The sequence below is a fragment of the Homo sapiens genome, chromosome X, assembly GCF_000001405.40.
Source record: "Homo sapiens chromosome X, GRCh38.p14 Primary Assembly".
Taxonomy (NCBI): Eukaryota; Metazoa; Chordata; class Mammalia; order Primates; family Hominidae; genus Homo; species Homo sapiens.
The window spans coordinates 112,122,714-112,150,016 of NC_000023.11; the positions used below are offsets into that span (position 1 = coordinate 112,122,714).

A 27,303-nucleotide genomic window follows, 5' to 3' on the forward strand; every position below is an offset into this window, starting at 1 on the left:
CAAAGTTCAAAAGAAACAAAACTATTTTTTCTAAGATTGTATCCATTAGAGATTATATTAGATTATACCTGAGAAAATTAGTATATCTATCAATTTTATGTGTTTATATGCCTGTATATTGTATGACACCTTATTTTCTAGAAATAATGACTGTCAATTTATTATTTATTTTTAAATTTTTCAATATCTATTGTAATTTTAATTGGTAGAGGTAAAATTTTAACCTTTGTTAATTAGGAGAAACTTGCTTTCTATAAAGTCAGTATATTTTTCTTTCATAATAGTAAAGTAAAAATATATAAATATACAAAGCACTAATGGCTCTGTGGAAGAATAACTTACAGCAGTTCAAGTTGCAATACACTGATTTTTAAAAACCCAATATATTCCCTTCTTTTTCAAACATTAGAGCCTGAGACCAAGAAAGGGTCATAATAAAATATTATCCAACCAAATCAGAACTAAACTCTTCTTTGCCAATAATGTTTTTGTAGCCTCTTAGCAGTTACCAAATGCTACTTACATACATTCAACATCTAACTTACTGGCATGATTTCAAATTTGTTTATAAAAATGAGAAACTTTGAAGATATGCAACTACAAGTTACACAAATTGCATTAAATTAAACACAAACACAGTGTGATCCTTATAGGACAAGTCAAGTCAGGTAGAAATGTTCTATAAAAATGTGTCACATTTCCTAGGCTTTCTTCTAGAGCTTTTGTGGTTTGGGGTTTCACATTTAAGTCTTTAATCCATCTTGAGTTAATTTTTGTATACAGTGTAAAGAAGGGGTCCAGTTTCAGTTTTCTGCATATGGCTAGCCAGTTTTCCCAGCACCATTTACTGAATAGGAGATCCTTTCCCCATTGCTTGTTTTTGTCAGGTTTGTCAAAGATCAAAGGTTGTAGATGTGTGGTGTTATTTCTGAGGTCTGTGTTCTCTTCCATTGGACTGTATGTCTGTTTTGGTACCAGTACCATGCTGTTTTGGTTACTGTAGCCTTGTAGTATAGCTTGAAGTCGGGTAGCATGATGCTCCAGCTTCAGGACATAGGCATGGACAAAGACTTTATGACGAAAGCACCAAAAGCTAGTGTAACAAAAGCCAAAATTGACAAATGGAATCTAATTAAACTAAACAGCTTCTCACAGCAAAAGAAACTATCATCAGAGTGAACAGGCAATGTACACAATGGGAGAAAAATTTTCAAGTCTACCCATCTGACAAAGGTCTAATATCCAGAATTAACAAGGACCTTAAACAAATTTACAAGAAAAAAAAAACCTCATAAAAAAGTGGGCAAAGGATATGAACAGACACTTCTCAAAAGAAGACATACATATGAAAAAAGCTCAAAATCATTGACCATTAGAGATATGGAAATCAAAACCACAATCAGATACCATCTTATGCCAGTCAGAAAGAATGGTGATTATTAAAAGTCAAGAAACAATAGATGCTGGCGAGGCTGTGGAGAAATAGGAACACTTTTACACTGTTGGTGGGAATATAAATTAGTCCAACCATTGTGGAAGACAGTATGGCAATTCCTCAAGGATCTAGAACCAGAAATACCATTTAACCTAGCAATCTCATTACTGGGTATATACCCAAAGTAATATAAATCATTTTACTATAAAGATGCATGCACACGTATGTTTATTGCAGCACTATTTACAATAGCACAGTCATGGAACCAACCCAAACGCCCATCAATGATAGACTGGATAAAAAAAAATGTGGTACATATACACCATGGAATATTATGCAACCATAAAATGGAATGAGATCATGTCCTTTGCAGGGACATTTTGGATGAAGCTGGAAGCCATCATTCTCAGCAAAATAAGACGGGAACAGAAAACCAATCATCTCATGTTCTCACTCATAAGTGGGAGTTGAACAATGAGAACACATGGACACAGGGAGGGGAACAACTCACACCGGGCCGGTTGTTGGGGGGGAGGGGATTTGAGGGGAGGGAATTAGAGGACGGGTCAATAGGCACAGCAAACCACCATGGCACACCTATACCTATGTAACAAACCTGCACGTTCTGCGCACGTATCCTGGAACTTAAAGAAAAAAAAATAAGTGTCACATTGAAGCGTCAGTATTTTCTGTCAATTATCTGCCCTTGATGTATTTTCTTGGAGTATGTAATCTATTAAGAGTTCAGTTTTGTCTTGTTTTGTTTTGTTTAGAGACAGTCTTTCTGTCTTACCCAGGCTGGAGTGCAGTGGTGCGATCTCAGCTCACTGAAACCTCCAACTTCCAGGTTCAAGCGATTCTCCTGCCTCAGCCTCCCAAGTAGCAGGGACTACAGGTGCATGCCACCACACCTGGCTAATTTTTTTTTTTTTTTTTTATTAGAGATGGGGTTTCACCATATTGGTCAGGCTGGTCTCGAACTCCTGATCTCACGTGATCTGCCCACCTTGGCCTCCCAAAGTACTGGGATTACAGGCATGAGACTTAAGATTTCTTAATCCAAAATATCTGACTGAATTTAGTTAAATCTAGAAAACAATTGCAAGGGTTTCCCTTATAGTCTGACATCACAGAAAGTGGATTAAGAAATCTTTCTTTACTTGAAGATGTACTGTTCTGCTTCCGTTATCAGCTCACAAAGGAAAAAGAAAAAAGTACCAATTAAAACCTTACCTCACACACACAATTCCACACAAGTTAAACAAAAACCACCACTCTCCCCACAAAACCGCAGCACCAAAGTGTCAATCATTCTTGGAAAATAGAACATGCCCCTTGGATTATCTGATTTGTTAGTTGTTCAAACTTTAAGGACAGAAATGTCCTATGTCCTTATGGGGAAGAGAGAAGACATGTTAATAATGACTACAGAGCCATTGAGAAAGTCCTTTATCAATTGCACAATTAACTTAGACCCCTGCCCGCCCATGGAGGTGGTCACAACTTCATTTAAATTCCTCAGTAATTGAACATTTACGTCTTTGGGATAAAGGAGATAGGGAAAAACAGAGCTACCAGTAGGGTGAATTTATTTAAACCAACCCCCCATTTAAAGAATTAAAAACTGTGTATAAAATGCTGTTTAAAATCATGAAGGCAACCAAGGGATGACTAGATATCAATACTCTACAAGGCCAACATCTACGATAACACTGGAACAGAGAGCTATAAGCTGAGCTCCAAAGCCACTTTTGTCCTTAAGAGATTTGTCAAACTGGGGGTCTGGAGCTTTTGTTTTTCACAGCTTCATGGTGACAGGTGAGAGAGAAGTTACACAGGGCCGGCGGCCTAAGGTGGGGAGTTTAGTACGATACTATCCCTATTAAAGTGAATCATAAGAGGCTAGGCCCTTGAGTAAGGGTGATCATCCCATCCCAGCAATTCCACCCCTGCAGAAGACTGCATGAAAAGTTGCCTTAACCTTGAACAAAATATGGGGATAAGATGACTAGTCCCTAAGAAGTTGTTAACACAAGCTGGTCCTCACACATATTTGCAATTGAATTTATCACCTGGTTGGACAAAACTCGTCAAGAAATGAATGTAGAAAAAAAATTGAAGAAAAGAATGTAATTTAAAGTAGTACCTTAAAGGTACCTAAGTGCTTTGCAAGGCAAACACAAATACTCTCTGGAGGAAAGTACCTTCATCCTAACTCCCAAAGAATATCCACAAATGAAAACACAACATACTGAATTTATGGGATGAAGAAAAGCAGTGCTCAGAGGAATATTTGTAGCTGTAAAAACCCGCATTATAAAAGACAGATCTCAAATCAATAACCTAACTTTGCACAGCAAGGATATAGAGAAAGAAGAGCAAACTAAATCCAAGCTGGCAGAAGGAAAGAAATAATAAAAGTTAAAGATAAAACAAATAGAGAATAGAAAAACAATGGAATCAATGAAGCCAAAATTGGTTAATGGAAAAGATCAACAAAACTGACAAGCATTTAAGTAGGCTGACTAAAATAAAAAGACAGATGAAAAGAACTAAAACTAGAAATAAAAGTGAAGACAATACTACTAACCTTAAAAGAATAAATGAATTATAAGACAATACTGTGAACAATTATACCCCAACAAATTAGATAACCTAGATGAAATGGACAAATTCCTAGAAACACACAAACTACCAATTCTGACTCAAAAAGAAATAGAAATTCTGAATAGACCTATAAAAAGTTTTTTAAAAACCCATAAAAAGACTGAAGCAGTAATCAAAAACATCCCAAAAAAGAAAAGTCCAGGAACAGATGGCTTCACTGGTGAATTCTACAAAACATTTAAAGAAAAATTAACACCAATCCTTGTTAAACTTCCAAAAAATAGAGGAGGAGCGAACACTTTTAATTTATTTTATGATACCAGCATTACCCTTATACCAAAGCCAAATATATCATAAGAAAATAAAACTACAGACCAATATCCTTTATGAACATAGGTGCAAAAATCCTCAGCCAAATAATATCAAACTAAATCTAACAGTATATTAAAAGGGTTATACACCATGGCAAAGTGGGGTTTATTCCAGAAATGCAAGAGTGAGTGGTTCATTCTAAGAAAATCAGTCAATGTAATACACCAAATTAATAGAATGAAGGGTATAAAAATCACATGATCATCTGAACTGATGCAGGAAAAGCACTTGTCAAAATTCAACAACCATTCATGATTCCAAAAAAAAAATGCCCAGAAAGCTGGCAATAGAGGGGAATTTTCTCAACATCATAAAGGGTATTCATGAAAACCCACAGTTCATCACATGTTTAATGGAGAAAGACTGAAAGCTTTCTTCCTATGATCAGTAACGGGGGTGTTTGCTGTCACCACTGCTATTTAACATTGTAGTGGAAGTTCTAACCAGAGCCATTAGGTAAGATGAAGAAATAAAAGGCATCCAAATTGGAAAGGATGAAGTAAAACTCTGTTTACATATGACATGATTGTATATATAGAAAATCTCAAAGGAATTGCCCCATAAAAATTGCTAGAACTAATAAACTAATTCTACAAAGTTTCAGAGCACAAAATCAATACAGAAAAATTCGTGTTTCTGTATACCCACACTAAGCAATATGAAGAGTAATTTAAGAAAATAATTCAATTTATAACATCATCAAAAATAGTAAAATACAAAGGAATAAATGTTTAACCAAGGAAGGAAAAGACTTGTACAATGAAAACTACAAAACATTGCTTAGGAAATTAAAGAATACCTAAATAAATGGAAAGATATTCCATGGATTAGAAGATTTAATATCATTAAAGTGACAATATAAACTGAAATAGTCTACAAATTCAATGTAATATATATCAAAATTCCATTGCCCTTTTTTGTAGAAATGGAAAAGCTGACCTACAAATGCTTAAGGATTTACAAGGGGCCTTAATTATCCTAAATATCCCTTAAAAAGAAGAAAAAAGGTGGGAAGACTCATATTTCCAAATTTAAAATCTTATTAAAAAGCTAGAGGAATCAAAACAGTGTGGTACTGGCATAAGGACATATCTGTAGACTAGTGTAATAGAATTGAGACTCCAGAAATAAACCTGTACATTTAGAGCCGATTGATTTGACAAGGGTGCCAAGGCCATCAATAAGGAGAGAATATTCTCTTCGACAAGAAATGCTGGCGTGACTGGATATCCACGTTTAAAAGAATGAACTTGGGGCCCGGCGCGGTGGCTCACGCCTCTAATCCTGGCACTTTGGGAGGCCGAGGCGGGCGGATTATCTGAGGAGTTCGAGACCAGCCTGGCCAACATGGTGAAACCCTGTCGCTACTAAAAATACAAAAAGTAGCCAGGCGCAGTGGCACGCGCCTGTAGTCCCAGCTACTTGGGAGACTGAGGCAGGAGACTCGCTTGAACCCGGAAGTGGAGGTTGCAGTGAGCAGAGATTTTGTCACTGCACTCCAGCCTGGGAGACAGAGTGAGACTCTGTCTCACAAAAAAAAAAAAAAAAAAAGTAAAAGAACTTAGAAGTTGGGTCCCTACCTTCTATTATGTACAAAAATTAACCCAAATTAAGTCTAATCCTAATATAAGAGATAAACTATAAAACTCTTAGAATAAAACTTTGGCTATGACACCAAAAGCTTAGGCAATAAACAAATAAATAAATTAGACTTCATCAAAATTAGTCTTCTGTCTTCTGTGCATCAAAGGACATTATCAACAAATGTAAAAGATAGCCTACTCAATAGGAGAAATTTATAAATCATATGTCTGATAAGGATCTAATGTCAACAATGTATAAAGAACACTTAGAACTCAACAACAAAAGGGCAAACAATCCACTTAAATGTAGTCAAAAGAATTGAATAGACGTTTACCCAAAGAAGATGTAAAAAGGGCCAAGAAGGAAATAAAAAGATATTCAACATCATTAGTTATTAGGGAACTACACATCAATACCACAATGAGATACCACTTTACACTTTACACCCATAAGGATGACTATAATTTTTTTAATGGAAAATAAGTGTTGGCAAGGATGATGAAGAAATTAGAACCCTTTTGTATTGCTGATGGGAATGTAATGTGTTTCATACATTTTTTAATACAGTTGGCAGCTCCTCAAAAAGTAAAATGTAGAATTACCTGATGATCCAGCAATTTTACTCATAGGTATATACCTAACAGAATTGAAAACATTTACCCACACAAAAACTTTTAAATGAAATGAATGTTCATAGCAACATTATGCATAACATCCAACATCTATTTCTGATAAAAATTCTCATCATAATGGGACCAAAGGACATTCTAATAACCCGATAAAATGTATTAGCAAAAAACAAACAAACAAACAAAAACACACCAACTACAGCTAACATTTTAGTTAAAGGTGAAAGCCTCAATGTGTTTGCTTTGAAGTCATGAACAATGCAAGGATATAATTTTTCACCACTTATTTCACCAGCAGACTTGCAGTTGTATCCATTATTGTATAGCAAGAAAGAGGCATCCAGATGGGAAACAAAGAACTAAAGCTGAAACTGTCTTTATTTTTCAGACTATATGATCTTCTATGTAGAAAATTTGATGGAATATACCAAAAAAGCTACTAAAAGTAATAAGTGAATTTAGCAAGGGTACAGGATAGAAGATCAACATACAAAATCAGTTATATTTATATTTACCAAAAACGATCCAAAATTAAAATGGAAAAAATATCATTAACAGTAGCATAAAAATGTTAAATTCTTGGGGATTATTCTGACAACAGATATATAAGACCCATTCAATGAAAATGAAAAACCGTTGTTGGGAAAAATTAAATAAGTAGAGAGATATATTGTTTTTATGAATCAGAAGGAAGACTCAATATTACTAAGATGCCAATTATTTCCACGCTTATCTACAGATTTACCACAATCCAAACAAAAATGCTAGGGTTTTTTTGAAATTGACAAGCTGATTCTCAAATTTACATGGAAATGTAAAGGGCCTAGATTAGCCAAAACAACTTCAAAAAATTACAGAGTTGGAGGAAAAATCTGCACTAGTTGATTTTTCTTTTCTTTTCTTTTCTTTTTTTTTTTTTTGAGACGGAGTCGATTTTTCTAATCTTCTTATAATGCTACAGTAATCAAGACAGTATGCCATTAGTGTAGATAGACAATTAGATCAGTTTTTGCCAGCATCCATGCAACTGTGGTAGGCCAACTTGCCAGCTTGCGAGGTGGGTAAAAAATCTCAGACCCTTTACTTTTCCTGACACAAGAGCCTTCAAAGTTATTTGTAATGATGTATTTCTTACAGTAGGTTGGTAGGTTGTGAATGCATGCATGCTTATTTAATATTTACTCTTTAGATACATTTATATTATTTTTATGTATGACATCGTTAATAATACAAAAAATACTAAGTAAAATGATTTAGAAATACTCAGTAAATTAATGTTACTAAAAATATTTCTGTCAAACTAAATGGGAGTATGACAACTATAAATTCAGAACAAGATTGTAAAATTTAGAAGGCGTTTTTACTCAATATATTCTACAAGTACTGTATGTCTTTACTCCATGTGAAAGGAACTGAAACTAGATATCATTGATGACACTTATGGGTGTGGGTTTTTTTTTTTTTTTTTTGTAAGACTGAGTCTCGCTCTGTCGCCCAGTCTGGAATGCAGTGGTGCGATCTCAGCTCACTGCAACCTCCTCCTCCCGGGTTCATGCCATTCTCCTGCTTCAGTCTCCCGAGTAGCTGGGACTACAGGCTCCCGCCACCATGCCCGGCTAATTTTTTTTGTATTTTTTTTTAGCAGAGACGGGGTTTCACCATGTTAGCCAGGATGGTCTCGATCTCCTGACCTCGTGATCCACCTGCCTCGGCCTCCCAAACTGCTGGGATTACAGGCGTGAGCCACTGCGCCCTGCCTGGGTGAGTTTTATAAAAGAAAAATTGTAGTATAGGTCTTGGCCTTACATAAAAATATTGAGAAGTGAATGTACATTTATGTTTTAAATTAGAATAAAAACATCTAAGGTATGTAAATACCTTTTTTTTTTTTTACCAGTTTCTGCTTTAAAGGAGACTTTTAAGTTAGTCAAGCAATTCCATTGATAAGGGAACTTGTACTGTATTTTAATTAATGTAGCAAACAAATCCCTGAGTAAATATTGCTTGGATATTTGGCTTTTCATTTAAGTAAAAGCTCAAGAGCTCTGGGAGAACTTCAAATCTCCATGGCACCCATGGCCTCATTTTTAGCTCTGAGTACAACTGGAAGACTGATATTGACAGGCTGAGATTGAGCCATATAAGGGGACAGCATAAGTTTAGCAGTTATTGCATATTGTATATGAGATTTCAGATGAAGATGCAGGACTTCAATAATGAGACCTGGTATTTCTTGAAATCTGACTTAACAAATGCCTTTTTTCCCCCTTCACTATTCGTACTATTAAATCTCTCAAGTTGCTTCATGTGTTCCTCTTTCTGGCAGGTGGATAGCAGGGGAGAGAGAGTGGGTGTGAGGAAAAGACGCATATTAAACAGAGAAAGGGAGAAATTGGAAAAGAAAGAGGGGTAAGTAAAGAGAGAAGGAACAGGTCCAAATAGGAAAATAAATAGAGATAGTGAGATGGAGAGAAATAAATAGAGGGAATACAAAACAGGAGAAAGAAGATTGTATCTATGGTGATAACAGTAAATTCTAATACAAATCCCTACTATTATGTTCCTGTTTACCAGCTATTTTGCTATACGTCTAATCTGAAGTAGTACCTATGAAGTAGTACCTATTATTCCCATTTTATAAACGAAGAAAGAGGCTTAATTAAAGAAGTTAAGAAACTAGCTCCAAGGAGACAGAGTCTGGATCTGAATCCAGGTCTGCTTGTCTCTAGAGCCCATAATTTTCCCACTGTATCAGGTTACCTCTATATGATACTGAAACAACAGGTTAATAGACAAAAACGTAAGTTAAACAGGTTATTTGGCATCATATAAACATACCACACAACACAAAATAACCTATCATCATCCCTAGCTTTTATTTTCCTTAACTACCTCTCCTCAGGGTCCCCACCACTTACAAAGATTCAATTTGATTAGTGTGCTTTGAGAGGAAGATAAGCAGGCAGGCAGGCAGAAAAATATTGCCATATCCTCAGTTTTCCCTTTTCCTGGAGTTTTCAGGTCAATCAGACAGCTTACCTCCCTCTGATCTCACAAAGGGCATAAAGCCCATTCCACTCATAAAAACTAGGTCCAAACCAGCATGTCCTAATTTTCTGGACCCCTTTGAGATTCTGAAGAAGGCTAGGACCCTCTCTCCAGAAAAATACACATACATACATACATACATACAAATTTTGCATGACAAGTCTGGAGTTTCACTGACCCCCTCAAAGTCCTGAGGTTTGCACCTGAGATGAGTCTTAGAGTCTGGAACTAGAAAGAGAATTACAGTGAATTCTGAGACAGAAGATGAGCACCAACCCTAGCACCCTGGCTCTGCCAGGACTTTCTTGAATCCTTTTCAAATACAAAGTTGGATATGGTTGTCTTCTCTCCCATTTTAAGTCATGTCTCTATGAAAAGTTTTATGTAAGAAGGTTAAATTTTTTCCTATACTCAAATTTATTGATTGATTTGCACTACAATAAGGTAAGTTCCATACTTCCAACATGGCATTACATTCTTTATACACTCCAGTGCCCACTGGCGGTCAAAGACAAATCTTTTGCCTTGAGTATTTGAATGTTATAGATGGCTATTACCTCCTGGAGGAGGCTAGCCCACTCTTAATTTCAAAATAGAGTCTTCTTTCTAGACATTTCTTACATTCAATTTTAATTTCTTAAAACTCTTGTATTCCACTAAAATTTTGATGAGGCCTTGTTGGGGTTCATGGTGAAATAGCGGCATATAGGAAAGAATGTTGGACAAAGAAGAGCCAAAACTTCCACTAATTTGCTGTGTTATTGTTACTGCAGGTAAAAGACATTTCCTTTGTACCCTCAGTATTTTCTTCTGTAACATGAAGTGATTGCTACTGCTATAAGTGCTTTTCAAATCTCTTTAAAAATTCTTTAGTAGTGTAAATCTTCGTTTCAGTGGAAATCTTGAGCAGAATGCCAATATGTAGTTTGATATACCAAGAATAATAATGATAAAATAATGATAAAATGTTTTCTTTGACTACTGTCAGGGGGAAATGAAATGCTCAATTGTATTAAAATGAACAAACTTTTCAGAGGAAAATAAAGATAAAAATAGAACTGCTGGGATCAAAAGGCGATGAAGCGATGGCAAGGGACCGACTCCCTCCCTTCTTATCCTTCTCTCATACCACTGACACACCCATGAAGCACATCCATGCAGTTTGAAAACAGTTGATCAAGAGAGCAACACACTAATAATAGTCAAAAGAATGTGATTTGGAGTTTAGCATTTATGGGTTCTAGCTCTGGCTTCTCACACTTAATAGCTCAGGGCCTTTGGCAAACTGCTTAATCCCTCTGTGCCTCATTTTCTATGTCTGAAAAATAAGGGTATTTAACATAGTTCTTATCACATAAGGTTGTGAAAATTTAGTGAATTAATATATGTAAAGTGATTATCCCAGTGCCTGCTACATGATAATTGTTCAATAAATGTTGGCTGTATTCTCATTATTGATCTATATAGTTTTAAACAAAGGCTTTGCTCATGAAGAATTAGTTTACCTAGCTTTCCCATTCTGCTCTCTTGCTCAGTAATTTCTTCTTTCCTAATCCATGCTAGAGCTAATATAACTAGACTATTAAGCAGGACCTCCCAATCTCTCTAATATTTTAGCCACACTGCAATAAACAAATGTAGTGAAAAATTAGTCGCATAGCAGACTGATTGAGCTATACCTGTGATTTTCAAATTCTTCTTTTTAGTTGTGGAGTGCTTTTAATTTTTAAGTAAATTGTCACTCTGAGACTCAGTATATAAAGCAGATAATAGTGGAGCCTCTCTGATTGAAGCAGGATTACCTTCTGTGTCTTTTAAATCCTCTACAACACCAGATTCCCACCCCTCCAACCATATACTCTTGAGAAATCAGAGAAACTCCAGTGCTTTGTGGAGTGGAGCAAAGCACTGGAAAACCACTGGACCGCTAACACTCTTACAAATATTAGATTCTGTGGGACTAAATTATTTCAGACTTGGACATACAGTTTGGTATTTTCCTTACTCCCATGATTTTAAGAAAAATGCAAATTGCAGAAACGGACATCTCACTCCTATAGATCATTCTTACACTCACTGGAAAGAAAAGGTAGGCCTTCATGTCCTATGATTGTGATCCATCTAGAGTCTACTTCCACTGAACTCCCATAGTACTTTTAAAAAATAGCTTTATAGAGGCATAATTGATACAATATCAACTGTATAATCTAAACTGTACAATTAGACACATTATTACATATGTGTACACCCAGTGAAACTGTTATTACCATAAGGATAATGAAACATAGCCATCAGTCCCCAGAATTTCAGCAAGCTCCTTTGGATTTTCCTCCTAGCCCTCAGAAACTGCTGAATGGCTTTTGGTCATTATAAACTAGTTTATATTTCCTAGATTTTTATGTAAGTGGAATCTTATTATATGTACTTTTTTTTGGTCTGGTCTCTTAACTCAATGTAATTATTTTGAAGTACATCTATGTTGTAATGTGTATCAACAACTTATTCCTTTTCATAGATGAGCAGTATTTTATTGTATGGATGTAGCACATTGTCTATTAGCACATGGATGGACAGTTGAGTTGTTTCCAATGTCTAAGTATTACAAATAAAGTTGTTATGAACATTCATATGCAAATGTTTGTAAAGACATGCTCTCCTTTCTCTTAGATAAACATGTAGGAATAGAATGACTAAATCATATGTGTATGTTTAACTTTTAACATTTTAAGAAATTGCCAAATTATTTACCAAAGTTACTGCACCACTTTACATTTCCATCAACATTATATGAGATTTCTAATTGCTTTGCATCCTTACCAACACTTAGTAAGGTCAACCTTTTTAATTTTAGGCATTCTCATAGCTGTGTAGCAATATCTCATTATGGTTTGAGTCTGCATTTCCTTAATGACTAATGATGTTAAGCATCTTTTCATGTACTTATCAGTCATCTGTATGCTTTCTTTGTTGAAGTGACTATTTAAATTTTTTGTCAATTTAAAAATATGGGCAATTGTTTTCCTTATTATTGAGTTTTGTGGTTCATTTATTAGATATACTTCGCAATGATTTTCTCCCAGTCTATAGCTTGTCTTTTCATTCTCTTATCAGCCTCTTTCAAAGAGAAGGAGTTGTAATTTTGATAAAGTCTGATTTATCAATTGTTTTGTATGGGTTTTATGGTTTATAATGTACCTAAGAAATCTCTGCCTAAAAATATTCTCCTATATTTTCTTCTAGAAGTTTTAAAGTTTTAGGTTTACATTCACATCTGTGATTCATTTTGAGTTAGTTTTTGTATATGATGTGAGATACGGATTAAAGTCATTTTTTTGCATATGCATATCCAAGTTTTAGAGCACCACTTACTGAAAATACATTTTCCCACTGAATTTCTTTTGACTCTTTGCCAAAAATTAATTGACTATATAATTAATTTTTGGCAAATGTATTTATATACATATATTTATATATGAGTATATATATACACATACATATAATACATACATATATATATATATATGTATACCTTGGCTCTCTACTGGGCTCCATTGACCCATTTATTCATTCATACATGAATATCATACTGGCTTGATTATTTTAGCTTTATAAAGGGTCTTGAGTGTTTCATAGTCCTCATTGTACAAGTATTTTATCACTTTGGTTAAGTTTATTCCTAAGTGTTTTATTCTTTTTGATACTATTGTAAATGGGATTATTTTCTTCATTTCCATTTTGGATAGTTTGTTGTTAGTCTATAGAAACACAATTTATTTTTGTGTGTTGATTTTGTATCTTGCAACTTTACTGAATTTGTTTATTTGTTACAACAATTTTGTGCTATCATTAGGTTTTTCTACATATAAGATTATTTCATCTATGAACAGAGATAATTGTCCTTCTTACTTTCTAATTTGAATGTATTTTATTTCCTTTTCTTACCTGATTGCTTTGACTAGGACTTCCAGTACTACATGGAATAGCAGTGGTGAGAGTGGATATCCATGCCTTTTTCCAGATCATACAGTAAAAGCTTTCAGCTTTTCACCATTAAGTATGATGTTAGCTGCAGTGTTTTCATAAGCTTAACCAAGGAAGTGGAAGACTTGTACACTGAAAACTGTAAAAACATTTATGAAAAAACTAAAGCAGACACAAATAAATGGAAAAACATCCCATATTCGTGGACTGTAAAAGTAATATTATTAAAATGTCCACACTACCCAAAGTGATCTACAGATTAAATGCAATTCCTATCAAAATCCCAGTAGCATTTTTACAGAACTGGAAAAAACTGTCCAAAAATTCAAATGGAATCAGCAAAGATCCCAGCTACTCAAAGCAGATTGGAGGAAGAATAACAAAGCTAGAGGCACCATACTTCCTGATTTCAAAATATATTGCAAAGCTGTAGTAATTAAAACTGTTTTTATGCCAGTTTTATACCAGTATGGCATTGACAATAAAAACAGACATATAGACCAATGGAACAAAATGGAGACCTGAAACTGTAAAAGTTCTAGAAGAAAACATAAGGAAAATCTTCTTGACATTGGCCTTAGCAATGATTTCTTCAATAGGACACTAAAAGCATAGGCAACAAAAGCAAAAATAGACAAGTGAAATTATATCAAACTAAAATGCTCTGCACAACAAAGGAAACAATTAACAAAATGTAAAGGCAAACTCCAGAATGGGGAAAAGTATTTTCAACCCATACATCTGATAAATATATAGGAATTCCTAGAACTCAATATTTAAAAAAAAAGAAACCCACAAATACTTGTATTAAAGTGGGCAAAAAACTGCAGATGCATTTCTCCAAGGAAGACATACAAATAGCCAACAGGTATATGAAAATGTGCTCAACATCACTGATCATCAAGGAAATTCAAATCAAAACCACAATGAGATAATCACCTTATACCAGTGAGGATAGTGTATTAGTCCGTTTCACACTGTTTGTCAAAGACTAGGTAATTTACGAAGGAAAGAGGTTAACTGACTCACAGTTCTGCATGGCTCTGGGGGCCTCAGGAAACTTGCAATTATGGAGGAAGGGGAAGCAGGCACATCCTTCACAAGGTGGCAGGAGAGTGAGTGTGTGAAGGAGGAACTGTCAAACACCACACATCTTGTGAGAACTCACTTACTATCATGAAAACAGCATAGAAGAAACCACCCCCATGATCCAATTGCCTCTCTTTCTCCACACATGGAGATTACAGGTCCCTCCCTCGACATGTGGGGATTACAGGTCCCTTCCTCCACACGTGGGGATTACAATTTGAGATGAGATTTGGGTGGGGACACAGAGCCAAACCATAACAGATGGCTATTATATATTAAAAAGATAACAAGTGTTAGCAAGAATGTGGAGAAAGGGGTAATCTTGTACATCATTGGTGGGAATGTAAATTGTTCCAGCCAATATTGAGAACAGTATGGAGATTTCTGAAAACATTAAAAATAGAACCACCATTTGATCTAGTAATCTTACTTCAGGGTGTATACCCAAAGGAATTAATATCAGAATCCCAAAGAGATATCTGCGTAGCCATGTTCATTGTAGCATTGTTCACAATAGCCAAGACATGGAAGCAATCTAAATGTCCACTGACAGATGGATTTAAAAAATGCAGTATATACATACAATGGAATACTATTCAGCCTTAAAAAAGAAGAAAATCCTGCCTTTTGCAACAATATGGATGAACCTGTAGGACATTATGCTAAGTGAAATAAGCCATATACAGAAGGAGAAATACTGCATCATACTACTTATATGATACTGCTTTTTAAAATAGTCAAACTCATAGAAGCAGAGATTAGAATGGCGGTAGCCAGGGGATTGAAGGAGAGGGAAACAGGGAGTTATTTATCCAAGGGTATAAAATTTCAGTTATGAAAGCTGGGTAATTCCTAGATATCTACTGTATAGCATAGTGTCTATAGTTAGCAATACTGTTTTACACACTTCAAAATTGGGTAAGAAAGTAAATATTACATTAATGTTCTTATAAAATAATAATAATAATAAAGACAGTGAGAGAAAAGTTTTGGAGGTGATAGATACGTTTATGCAATAGATTGTAATGATGGTTTCACTAGAGTGTACTTATCTAGGAACTCATCTAGTTGTATACATTCAATCTGTACAGTTTTTTATAACATCAATCATACCTCAGTAAAGTGTTTTTTTTAAGTCTTGAAATTACATGGTGTTTATCCTCCAGTTTTGGTCTTATTATCCAAAGTTGTTTTAACTATTTCAGGTCATTTGTATTTGCAAATAAATTTTAGAATCAGTTTGTCAAATTTTAGAATTAGCTTTATATACAATAAATCTTGCAATACTTTTTAAATTATTAACAAATAACTTCCGAGAAAAGAGTTGCAAAAATCGTACATAATATTTCTATCTACACTTTGCCCAAGTTTTCCTAATGTTAACATCTTACATAACCATGGTACAATGACCAAAATTAAGAAATTAACATTGGTACAATACTATTAACTATAGACTTTATTCAGATTCTCTTTGTTTTTAAATAATGTCTGTTTATTGTTTCAGGATCCAAACCAGGATATCACATTGTATTTAGTTGTCCTTCCAATCTGTGACGGCTCCTCAATCTCTCATGTTTCTCATGACCTTAACACTTTTGAAGCATATTTGTCAAGCATTTTGTAGAGTATCCTTCAGTTTGAGTTTTTCTGATGTTTTCTCATTATTAGACTGAGCGTATGGATTTTGGGGAGGAATACCATAGAGATAAAGTGCCATACACATCACATAATATCAGGGGTTGCATGATATCAAGATGACTTATCGTGGGTGATATTAACCTTGATCACTTGGTTAAGGTTGTGTCTGATGGATTTCTCCACTGTAAACTTGTATTTTTCTGTTTCCATACTCCATTCTTTAAAAAGAAAGTCACGGAATTCAGCCAACACACAAGGGGAGATAAATTAAATTCCCTCCATCTCCAGAAGGTAGGAATATTTAAAAAAATTGTGGGTACATGTTAAAACTACCACAGTAATTAATAAATATTTTGGAAGATACACTTTGAGGTTATGTTAATACCCAATTTCAATTTCACTTTAAAGTTTTATCTACTCATTTTAGCATTTATCAGTGTATTTTGCCTGCAGCAACTGGTACTGTGGTGTTCTAAAAGTTATTTTCTACTTTCCCCATTCCTTCTACATTTATTAATTTGAATTATTCGGTAAGGAAGAGTTGTTACTTCTCTCTCATTTCTTTATTTATTGAATCATTTATCTCAGCATAGAATAACAGATATTTATTCTTTGGGTTATTGATATGGTTTGGCTCTGTGCCCCCACCCAAATGTCATCTTGAATTGTACTCCCATAATTCCCACATGTTGTGGGAGGAACCCAGTGGGAGATAATTTGAATCATGAGTGCAGTTTCCCCCGTATTGTTCTCTTGGTAGTCAATAAGTCTCACGAGATCTGATGGTTTCATGAGGCATTTCTGCTTTTGCATCCTTCTCCTTTTTCTCTTGCCACCACCATGTAAGAAGTGCCTTTCACCTGCAGCCATGATTTTGAGGCCTTCCCAGCCACGTGGAACTGTAAGTCCAGTTAAACCTCTTTTTCTTCCCAGTCTTGGCTTTGTCTTTATCAGCAGCATGAAAACGGACTAATACAGCTATAATCCAATAATATTATTATATAGTTTATTGCTCAAATTGTTCAAATTTTGGCCATTGAAAGCTTTTTCAGGTTGACTAATGTTTTCTTTTGACATGCCCCATGTTTTGTTTTTTTAAGAACTTCTTTACTTTCTGGCACTACAAGATGCTCCAGGATCACCTAGTGATTTCCCTGTCCCAGCCTCAAAATCAGACACTTCTCCAAGTATCCCTGGTTCCTTTGATGGGAAAATGGTATGAAAAATGAATATCTGGGCTCTAAGTGTGCTCATTGCTGCTAGGTTGTCACTGCTTCTATCTGTTAGTGGACAGAGCTAGAAATGTATATGTCTTAGTCCATTTGTGGCTGCTGCTATAACAAAATACCTTAGAGTGGGTAATTAAAAGCAACAGAAATGTATTGCTCACAGTTTCTAGAGATTGGGAAGTCCATGATTAAGGGTCTACAGATTCAGTGTCTGGTTAGGGCTTGCTCTGCCTTACAGATGGCACCTTCTTGCTGAGTCCTCATGTGGTGAAAAGGGCAAACAGGCTTCCTCAAGCCTTTTTTAAAAAGGCACTAATCCCATTCATGAGGGCTCTGTCCTCATGAACTAACCAAGTCCTAAAGGCTTCACCTCTTAATACTATCACACTGGGGATTTAGTTCCAACATTTAATTTTTGGAGAGATACCAATATTGATACCATAGCAATATGTCTGTATACTAACCCATTTTTGAAAATTTTTAAAAGTAAAATTCACTCTTTGTGTTATACATTTCTATGAGGTTTGACAATGCACAGACATGCATCCACAACCACAGAATACAGAATATAATACAGAATAGCTGTAGCCAAGTTCTGTCCCTTTGTAGTAAATTCCTTCTCTACAACTACAGTCTCATGCTGGAATTTTGCTTGTGATTGCATTGATTTTATAAATCAGTTTGGGGAGAACTGACATTTTCACAATATTGATTCTATCTCAGAAATGCAGTATGTGTTTCCATTTATTTAGGTCTCTAATTTCTCTCAGCAATATTTTGTTGTTTTTAGTGCATAGCTCTTTTACATCTTTTGTCAAATTTATTCCTAAGTACTTAAATATATGTTAATGTTATGGTAAACAGTATTTCTATTTTTGTTTCAGTTTATGATTGTTCATTGCTAATCTGTATAAGTACAGTTTTTATATTGATATTTTATCTTCAACCTTACTAAGCCCATTCATTCATTCTTGTTGTTTTTTTGTAGATTGAATTGAATTTTCTACATAAATATTTTCTACATGTTATCCACAAATAAAAGATAGTTTAACAACTTTCTTTTCAATCTCAATAACTTTTCTTGCTTTTTCTTGCCTAAATATAGTTGCTATATCCTCTGGCACAATGTTTCCTGATCTCAGGGGAAAAAAAACTCAGTCTTTCACTATTAAGTATGATGGTAGATGTCTACAGTGTAAGCTTTCAGTGCACTGCCTTCAAATATCAACTCTGTCCCCTCTAATTCTGCTTTTGGAGATCCAATTCTGTTGGTATTGAAGGTTATTTGTGGCCTCAAGAATTCTTTTTTAAATGCCACGGTGTCTTGGAGGGTTCACATATTATGTGGTCTAGAGATATCTCGTATATCAAGTAATACCTAAGCTAGGACACTATCAGGCTGCCTTGAGGGAATAAGGGAAATGTACTGAAAAAAAAGGAAATAAATGTTGGTGGAGACATGGGTAGCTTCAGTGACACATTTGTTTAATTTTTATTTTGTTTAGACTTAATAAATTCCATTACTTTGGAAATTGGTAGTTGATGTCTAATATCTTTAAAGTTTAATAACTAAGGGTTTTGGAATCTTTATCACTGGTGATTTTTTGAAAGAGAAGAGATATTATTTATTTTTATGGTTCTCTAGACATATTAGACATATACCTTTTAGGAGACAAGGAACCGGGAAGATAATCTCTTGCATTCTCTTCTGGTACTACAATATTGCCATCTGTACTTGCCAACACTAAATAAGGATGCTGAATGAAGCTGAGGGTCATATAGCCAAATCAGAGAAGATGGCAACTTGGTCTTTCATACAAATCAATAGAACTACCAAAGAGAACAAATCAAATAAAACCTTTGAAGACAAGAAAAGACCAGCACTATCACTGGGCTGCCTCATCGACTGACTTTGGGTTGTCCCCATGAGGGTGAGGAGAGCAGAGAAGGATAGGGCAGACTACATTGCATGACAGATTCCTGTCCTCAGTGTGTCTGTCTTAGTGAACTCAAAATCTCTTTCAGGCTCAACTTCATGGGAAGAAGCCACAAAATATAATCCACAGGGACTATAATCTTCCTATCCTGATGGTGGAAGGATTTAATGGGTTGATTGTTTAATTCTACCTATGATCACTTATTAATATAGGTATCTGGAACCATCTCCTTCTTCCCCAATAATTTTTTTTCCCTGATACCATGTGTAGGCAAAGATCAGAGCCTGAACAATTGCCTAGGTTGGCCATGCCCAAAGCAGGGTTCTGAGGACACTAAACAATGGCCATGGTCTAAAACAATAAATGAGTTGTCTATGTTCTAATCAGTATCCAAACCATGGAATGGGAGACTACAAAGGTGCATGGAGTTTGAAAGTCCTGTAATAGGGGTGTGTGTAACTAGGATGTGGCAGTATTTCTTGTTTAAGCTGAATGGTAGGCTATTTCATCTTCCATTTATGGCTTATGTTAGCATACAGCCAGGCACATCCTGAAGACAAAGGAGAAATTTTTTTTCTTTTTTTGAGACAGAATCTCATTCTGTCACCCAGGCTAGAGTGCACTGATGTGATCTTGGGTCACTGCAACCTCCACCTCCCGGCTTCAAGAGATTCTTCTACCTAAGCCTCCCGAGTAGCTGGGATTACAGGCATGCACCACTACACTCGGCAAATTTTTGTAGTTTTAGTAGAGAGGGGGTTTCGCCATATTGGCCAGGCTGGTTTCAAACTCCTGACCTCAAGTGATCCGCCTGCCTCGGCCTCCCAAAGTGCTGGGATTACAGACGTGAGCCACCGCACCCGGCCTGGAGAAAGTTTTAGATATTATATTGCTATTACTGAATATTTATATAGCAATAGTTAGAGCTGAAGATGTATGGTATTAGGCTGCCGTAGGATAAGTCAGTCAGTAGCTGTGACCTCTTTATGCCTTTACATGTTTTGAGGTATTAAAAAAACACTTCAAAATTACTCTCAGATGAACTTAGGCATTTTTTTTCATAGATTTTAAATAAGTAGGTCTCAAGTAAGAATAGAAAATATAAAGCAAGCTGCAGTCACCTTCCACATGATCACCTTGTGGGTTTTGCTTTTGCCATTACTATTGTTACTCTGTATTCCTGGGGATGTAGATTCAGCACTCAAGATTCGCTGTTTTCTGTCAGTTTCCTTGTTCCCAATTAGGATACAGTCATTAGAATGATTCCAGGAGGTGTCTTTATTTGCAAGGTCACATGATTAAATCTATGAGGCATCACGTTTCATCTAGATCACTGACATTAGTTTTCAATCAGAATTTTTTTTATCAGCCATTAATAAAGCAGATGAAGTTCATATAGAACAGCATTTCTTAAAGCTTGGTAAGAGGTCCACCTACTATAGAATCACCTAAAAGCCTTATTAATGTAAATTTCTAGGCTCCACTCCAGACCTGCAAAATCAGAATTTCTGGGTATGGGTCCCAGGAATCTACATTTTTAACAAACTGACCATAGATCTCTGTTGCAAGCTAACAATTTCTTAAAGCACATCTTTAGAACTAGTTTTTAAGATGTTTCCCCAGTTTTATTAAGGCATAACTGACAAATAAAAATCGTACATATCTGCAACGTAAAACATGTTTTGATAATGCATACACTGTGAAATAATTAAATCAAGATAATTAACATATTCATCACCTCACATAGAACTACTTATTTTTTATAAAGAAAAGAATCTTCTGTGTACAAATCAGTACATTTCTTGTTAATCTTAAATATTTCCAGGTATATCATCTTCTAACCTTGGATTTAACCTTAGAGTTGCATTTTGGTTCAGTGCTCATTTAATTTGCTAACATCTTCTCTTGGGGTGGGATCCCTAAAAAAAACAGCTCTGGCTGCAGTACTTCAGTGCCGTTTGGAGTCAAATTGCCTCTAGTCGCTCCTTTTAGCTCCAGCTGCTTAACTCCATTATAGTCAGAGTGGGTATATTTATTTAATCTGTTACTGCTGGTTAAAGCAGTGGTTCTTCCACTTGAGGGTGCATCATTTTCACCTGGAAGGCTCGTTAAAACACAAATTGCTGAGCCCTGTCCCCAGAGTTTCTGATTCAGTAGATCTGAGGAGGGACCACATAATTTGCATTTCTGATAGGTTCCTGAGTAATGTTACTGCATGTATGGGGATCATACTTTGAGAACCACTGAGTTCTCAAAGGAAAAAACGTAGGCTGCCTGCCTAAGATTTGGACCAGCTAAAAATGGCTCTCAAACCTGACTGCACATTGGAATCACCTAGGAAGCGTAAACAACATACTAGTGCCTGGGACTTGCTCCGGATTAATTAAATCAGAATAACTGGAAGTGAAGCCTAGGTATGAGTGTCTCTTAATATCCCCAGGTGATTCTAATGTGAATTCAATGTTACATCCCACTTTGCTAGAAGCTCCAGGCCAAACGCTCTTCTGTTCCTCCACATATCTCCCATGTAGCTGAATAACAAATGGAAAAGGTGAAAAACCCCTGCAGCCATTACTTCCTCCCTAGGACAAGTTCCCTCACTTAACTATATTGCTAAAGGCCAATCTTGATTTCTAATCCCAAATATGACCTGTTTTCAAGGCTCCTGATGCTTGATCAGGGTGACATTGTGCATCAGCATGCTCTTCCCCTCCTTCTCTGTATCTATGGTTCTACAAGTCCTTTTTTTTTCCTGTAGCAATAAGCCATTCATCATCAGACCTATTATCCTGAAGGGTTCTGTTCAGGAGCTCTTTTCCTTTAGAATGTTTGCAACAGGTGATGTTTCGAACTTCTTCATTTATAGCATCCTACTTAACTGGAGTGTGTCAAGCAAATGACACTAGTTGGAATACCTCAATTATTGTACATTCATTATGAGCACAGGAGCAATACTTTTTGATCATGATGGATCCTTCTTAATTACTCTATTTTGTAGACTGGAAAAATCATTTTGCCATGAAAAGAATATTTTCAGAGAGCTCTATCGATGCTTAATTCACCAGAGTGAATTAATGTCAGGGTGTGAGTGGGGTGGAGAACAAGTTCTTCCCTGACTTTCTCTGGACTAATCTAGAATGAAAGTTCATTTGGAAAGGGGACTTCACAGACACAGTCAAGGGGGATGTTGAGAAGGAGTCAAGTTGAGTCTCTAAGTTTCTTTTCTCTTTCTTGTATTCAACAAATATTTGCTGAGGGTCTACTGTGCAGGCACTGTTTTAGGTGCTGGGGATACAGTAGTGGACTAGGTAAAGTTTCTGCCTTTATGGCAATGACATTCTATTGGTTAGTGTGTGAGGAGGAGACATTAAAAGTGTAAACAAGTAAAAAAAGTGTCTATATAATTTTTAGTTGTGATAAGTGCTATGACGAAAAGAAGTGGGGCAATGGGATAGAGAATACACTGGGAATGGGGACAGACACTTGTTCCTTTACCTAGGGAAAAAGAAACTCTGTGAAAGTGACATCTGAACTGAGACCTGAATGATGAGAAAGAAGGAATCCCAGCAGAAGAAACAAGTGTAAATTCAAGGGACACACCCTCAAAAAAAGCCAACAAGCAAAGGAGAGAGCAGTCTCAAGCCAAATCATATATGCGCTTGTAGGCTGTGCTAAAGAGTTTGAATTTTATTACAAGTTCAATGAGAAGGCACTGTGGGATGTTTTAAGCAGAGGAATCAAATTGCTTGACTATTGATTTTAAAACGATCACTCTGGCTGCCGCATGAAGAGTGGTCTCCAGAAATGGTGGCAAGAGTGAATTCAGGGAGATCAGATTGGAGGCTGTTGTGGTAATTTAGGCCAAAGATAATGCTGGCTTAGCCTAAGATTTTAGCAATGCAGGGGGTGAGAATTAGGCAAATTTGTGAAGATTGCGAATTTTGGAGGCATAACAAGACATGCTGATGAATTGGAGATGGGATGGAAGGAAGAGAGAAAGGTGCCTGTTTTTGGTTTGAACAACTTGGGGGAAGTTGGGAGCATTTACTGAAATGAGGAACAATAGGGAAAGGAAAAAATTTGGGAGGGAAATCAGAAATTCTATTATGATCACATTTACTTTGAGATAGGCCTATAACATAGTAAAGATGCTGAGTTGGCATCGCAATTCTGGAGCCCAGGAAAGAGCTTTTGGGCTGGAGATAATACATTTATGATTTTTGAACATACGGAGATAATTTAAAATCTGAGTGAGTTAGACAGTTAGCATAGAAGAGGGAAGAGAGATCTGAAGCCCGAGCTCTGAGGCAATCCAAAGGCTAATGGTCAGGGAAATGAGGAGGAAGCAGGGAAATGAGGAGGAAGCAGGAGGTCAGTGAGGTAGGAGGACAAATCAGTGAGTGTGTTTCCCTGAAATATTAATGAATCAAGTGAATCCAGGAGGAGGGGATGGTCAATTGTGTCAGGTCATGCAGACAAGTTCTGCTGAAAGACCTGCGCTGAGAGAGTGTGATGTATGGAAAAGAATGCTGGCTTGCAACGCAGAGAACTTCAGTTTTAAGGACTAACTGGAACTACTGTATAATCATCATCATTATTATCACTATCATCATCATCATCATCATCAAAATGGTAATAGTAAGCAATATTTGTCCATATCTAGTATGTTTCAGGCATTGTGCTAAGTGTTTGCCTGCATTATTTCAATGAATCCTCCCAACAACCAGATGAGGTACACACTATTATTCTCGTTTCAGAGATGGGGGAGCTGAGTGAGGCTCGCAGATGTACAGTCCCTTGCTCCAAAGTCACACAGTGTGATCTGGGCCAAATTATTTCCCTTCTTTGAGGGAATTTCTCTCGTCTCTAAAATGAGCAAGTGAATTACTTTACTTTTTTTTTCAGCAACGATACCCTCTCATCTCAAACAAAAGTAAGTACAGAAACTCAGTTCATAAAACAGCAGAGTTGCACTGTTTCAAGCTTGAGTGTAGGATCTGTAGTCCTATCTACCGAACTGGACTTCTCTCCCCTCTTCCCCTTCTCTGCCCTGTGGCTTGCAAAGCACTCAACTGGATGGATTCTATGTGAATTTCAGCTTTTAGAATCCTAGAATTCAGATTCTCAGCTACCCCCTCCCCCTTGTGACCAAGTGCTGAAATTACAGCGTGGTTGGTCAGTGTTAGGAAATTCTGTGGCTCTGGATCACAGACCACAGAGCCACTAGTCCATATGGGACAGAGTTGTGGCCACTGCACTTCAGTGAACTGGTCACAATGTAAGCTCCTCACTGCTCCCATTTTGAAGTAAACCTCTGGGTGAATACAGCCCAATACCATACCTTAAAACAAATTGGGTTTATCTGACTGATTAAAAAAGAATCAAATGGCTCTGGCCTGGGTGTTGTGGCTCACACCTGTAATCCCAGCACTTTGGGAGGCCGAGATGGGTGGATCACTTGACGTCACGAGTTCAAGACCAGCCTGGCCAACATGGTGAAAACCCATCTTTACTAAAAAATACAAAAAATTAGCCAGGTGTGGTGGGGTGCACCTGTAATCTCAGTTACTTGGGAGGCTGAGGCAGGCTCTTCATCATCTCTTTAGGAAAACCTGTCTTTATGTAGCCTGTAAAAGTCAGACCTCCCCCTCTCTATGTGTTCCCTGAACTCTCTTCCTAACCCCACCATAGTCTTTGCCACATTGGGTGGTAATTCATCATCTGATTACAAGTCTATTTTCTCCACTAGTTGGAATCACATTCACCTTTCTGTCACATTCACCTAGCACAGGACCTGGTCAGCCAACATACATTGAATGAATAACAGACTCTCCTTTTGGGGAGAAGGTGCTTGTAAGAATGGGAAGAGCATTATTTGACAGATATCACAGGATCTTGGTGCTTCCTGCTCATTTGCTGTTCAGTGGAATATTTTGTCTCTGGAAACTTGCTCTGTACAGTGATGTGAACTTGGGATTCCTTCAAACCTATTAACATGCCACAACCAAGCAGAAATACGTGTTCCTCTTCTCCCAATGTGATCTAACTGCCATGTGACTGAGTGCAAAAAAAAAAAAAAAAAATCTGGGTTTGATCTCAGAGCTCCAGCTATGCTAATGGAATGAAATACAGGCAATAGCCTGCAAGGGAGAACACTGATATTTGTTCTGATATGCTTCAGGGGATGGAGCAGGGCCACAATTTAATTCCTGACAGTTCAGAGGCCTTATGTAGTTGGAAACTGAAAATACTCACTGAAAATGCCAAGTAATGTCAAGTCTGAGGAGTTTGACCTACTGGTCAGAATGGAAACCTCAGATAAAGATACATATCCTCCCTTCACCTGCAGCAGCACAATAAGGCAGAGAGAACAGAGTCTCTGTATACTTTTGACCTGGGTTTGAAACCCAGTTCTGAATAGTTCTAGGCATGAGACTTTTTGATAGTTACTCGATTTCTCTGAGTGTTACTTTCCTCTTCTATAAAATGAGAATAATAATATCTATCTTGATAAGTTAGTGTGAGAATTTTGCGTGGTTGTATAAAGGGCCTGGCACATAGTAACTTCTCAATTTGTGATAGCATAAAATAATTAAACTTCTTTTACCTGTGCCAGAAGCAGTCCTTTCGTCTCATCCCATTGATGTGTCATTTCCACTAAGGACCTCAGGTAGAGGGAGTGGGTGTTAATGGTGCCTCTAAGGACAAGGGGGGAAGGCAGTCTCCTATCCCTCAGGTATCTTAGAATCTCCTGTATCTGTCTGTATATGGAAGTATATGTATTTTCACTGGTTAAACAATTTAGTCATTTTTTTCTCCTGGAAAGAAAAGAAAACCCAGCTGATTATTACTTTAGCTTAGTGTATAAGAGGAATCATTTGCTTGTTTTCTTGTTACTTCCTTTAACAGATATTTAATAGGTGCCTGCTATGAGTGAGACCTTTTTCGAGGCACTAGGGATAGAAGAGAGACAACAGTTCTCACTTTCCTACAGCTGACAGTCTTTTTGAGGGAAATAGACAATAAAAATGATAAGTAAAATATATTATTATATGTGAGATGATGATAAGTGCTAGGAAAAGAAATAAAGCAGGAAGAGGTGATAGGAAGTATTACATCAGAAGTATCTTAAGTGACAAAGTTACAGTTTTAGATAGACCAGAGAAGGGATCACTGAGAAGGTGAGATTTGAGTAAAAGGCTGAAGGACACACAAATATCTGGGGAAGAACATTCTAGGCAGAGGGTATAGGACAAGCACAAAGGCCCTCAAGCAGGAGAATGACTGGTGCATGTACAGGGTAGCAAAGGGGCCAGCATGGCAGAAGTTGAGTAAACAACAGAAGCAATAGTAGGAACACCTTTGATATTGAACCCTTTGCTCATCATTTCCTGCTCTTGTTCATTCAGCAACTATTATCAAGTACCTACTATGTGCTAGGCATTGTGCTAGGTACTGGTATAAGGTGCAATGAATAAGGCAGATGGTGTTTCTGCCTTCATATGGAGTTTACAGTCAGTCTAGTGGGAGGAGAAAAGAATAATTACATTTCAGGTGGTGAGACATGCTAAAAAGAAAAATGAAACAAGGCAAGGGGGAAAGGGAAATCTGGGGTGAGGGTTAGTCACTATTTTAAGAAGTAAGGTGGACAGAAAAGCCCTTTCTAAGAAGGTGATATTTAAGTAGAGAAATGAAGAAAGTAAGAGAGCCAGCTTTGGGGATTTCTGGTAGACGATTGTTTCTAGATAGAGGGA

At 36.5% G+C, this 27,303-nt stretch overlaps 1 protein-coding gene across 2 annotated transcripts in view; it reads left to right on the forward strand.

Moving 5' to 3' along the window:
* RTL4 (retrotransposon Gag like 4) overlaps window positions 1-27,303 on the forward strand; it is a 374,502-nt gene that overhangs the window by 39,701 nt on the left and 307,498 nt on the right. For both annotated transcript variants that reach the window (NM_001004308.3, NM_001395362.2), the window contains exon 2: window positions 8,270-8,388. The gene's annotated coding sequence lies outside the window, so the exon portion shown is untranslated. The remainder of the gene's footprint in view (window positions 1-8,269; window positions 8,389-27,303) is intronic.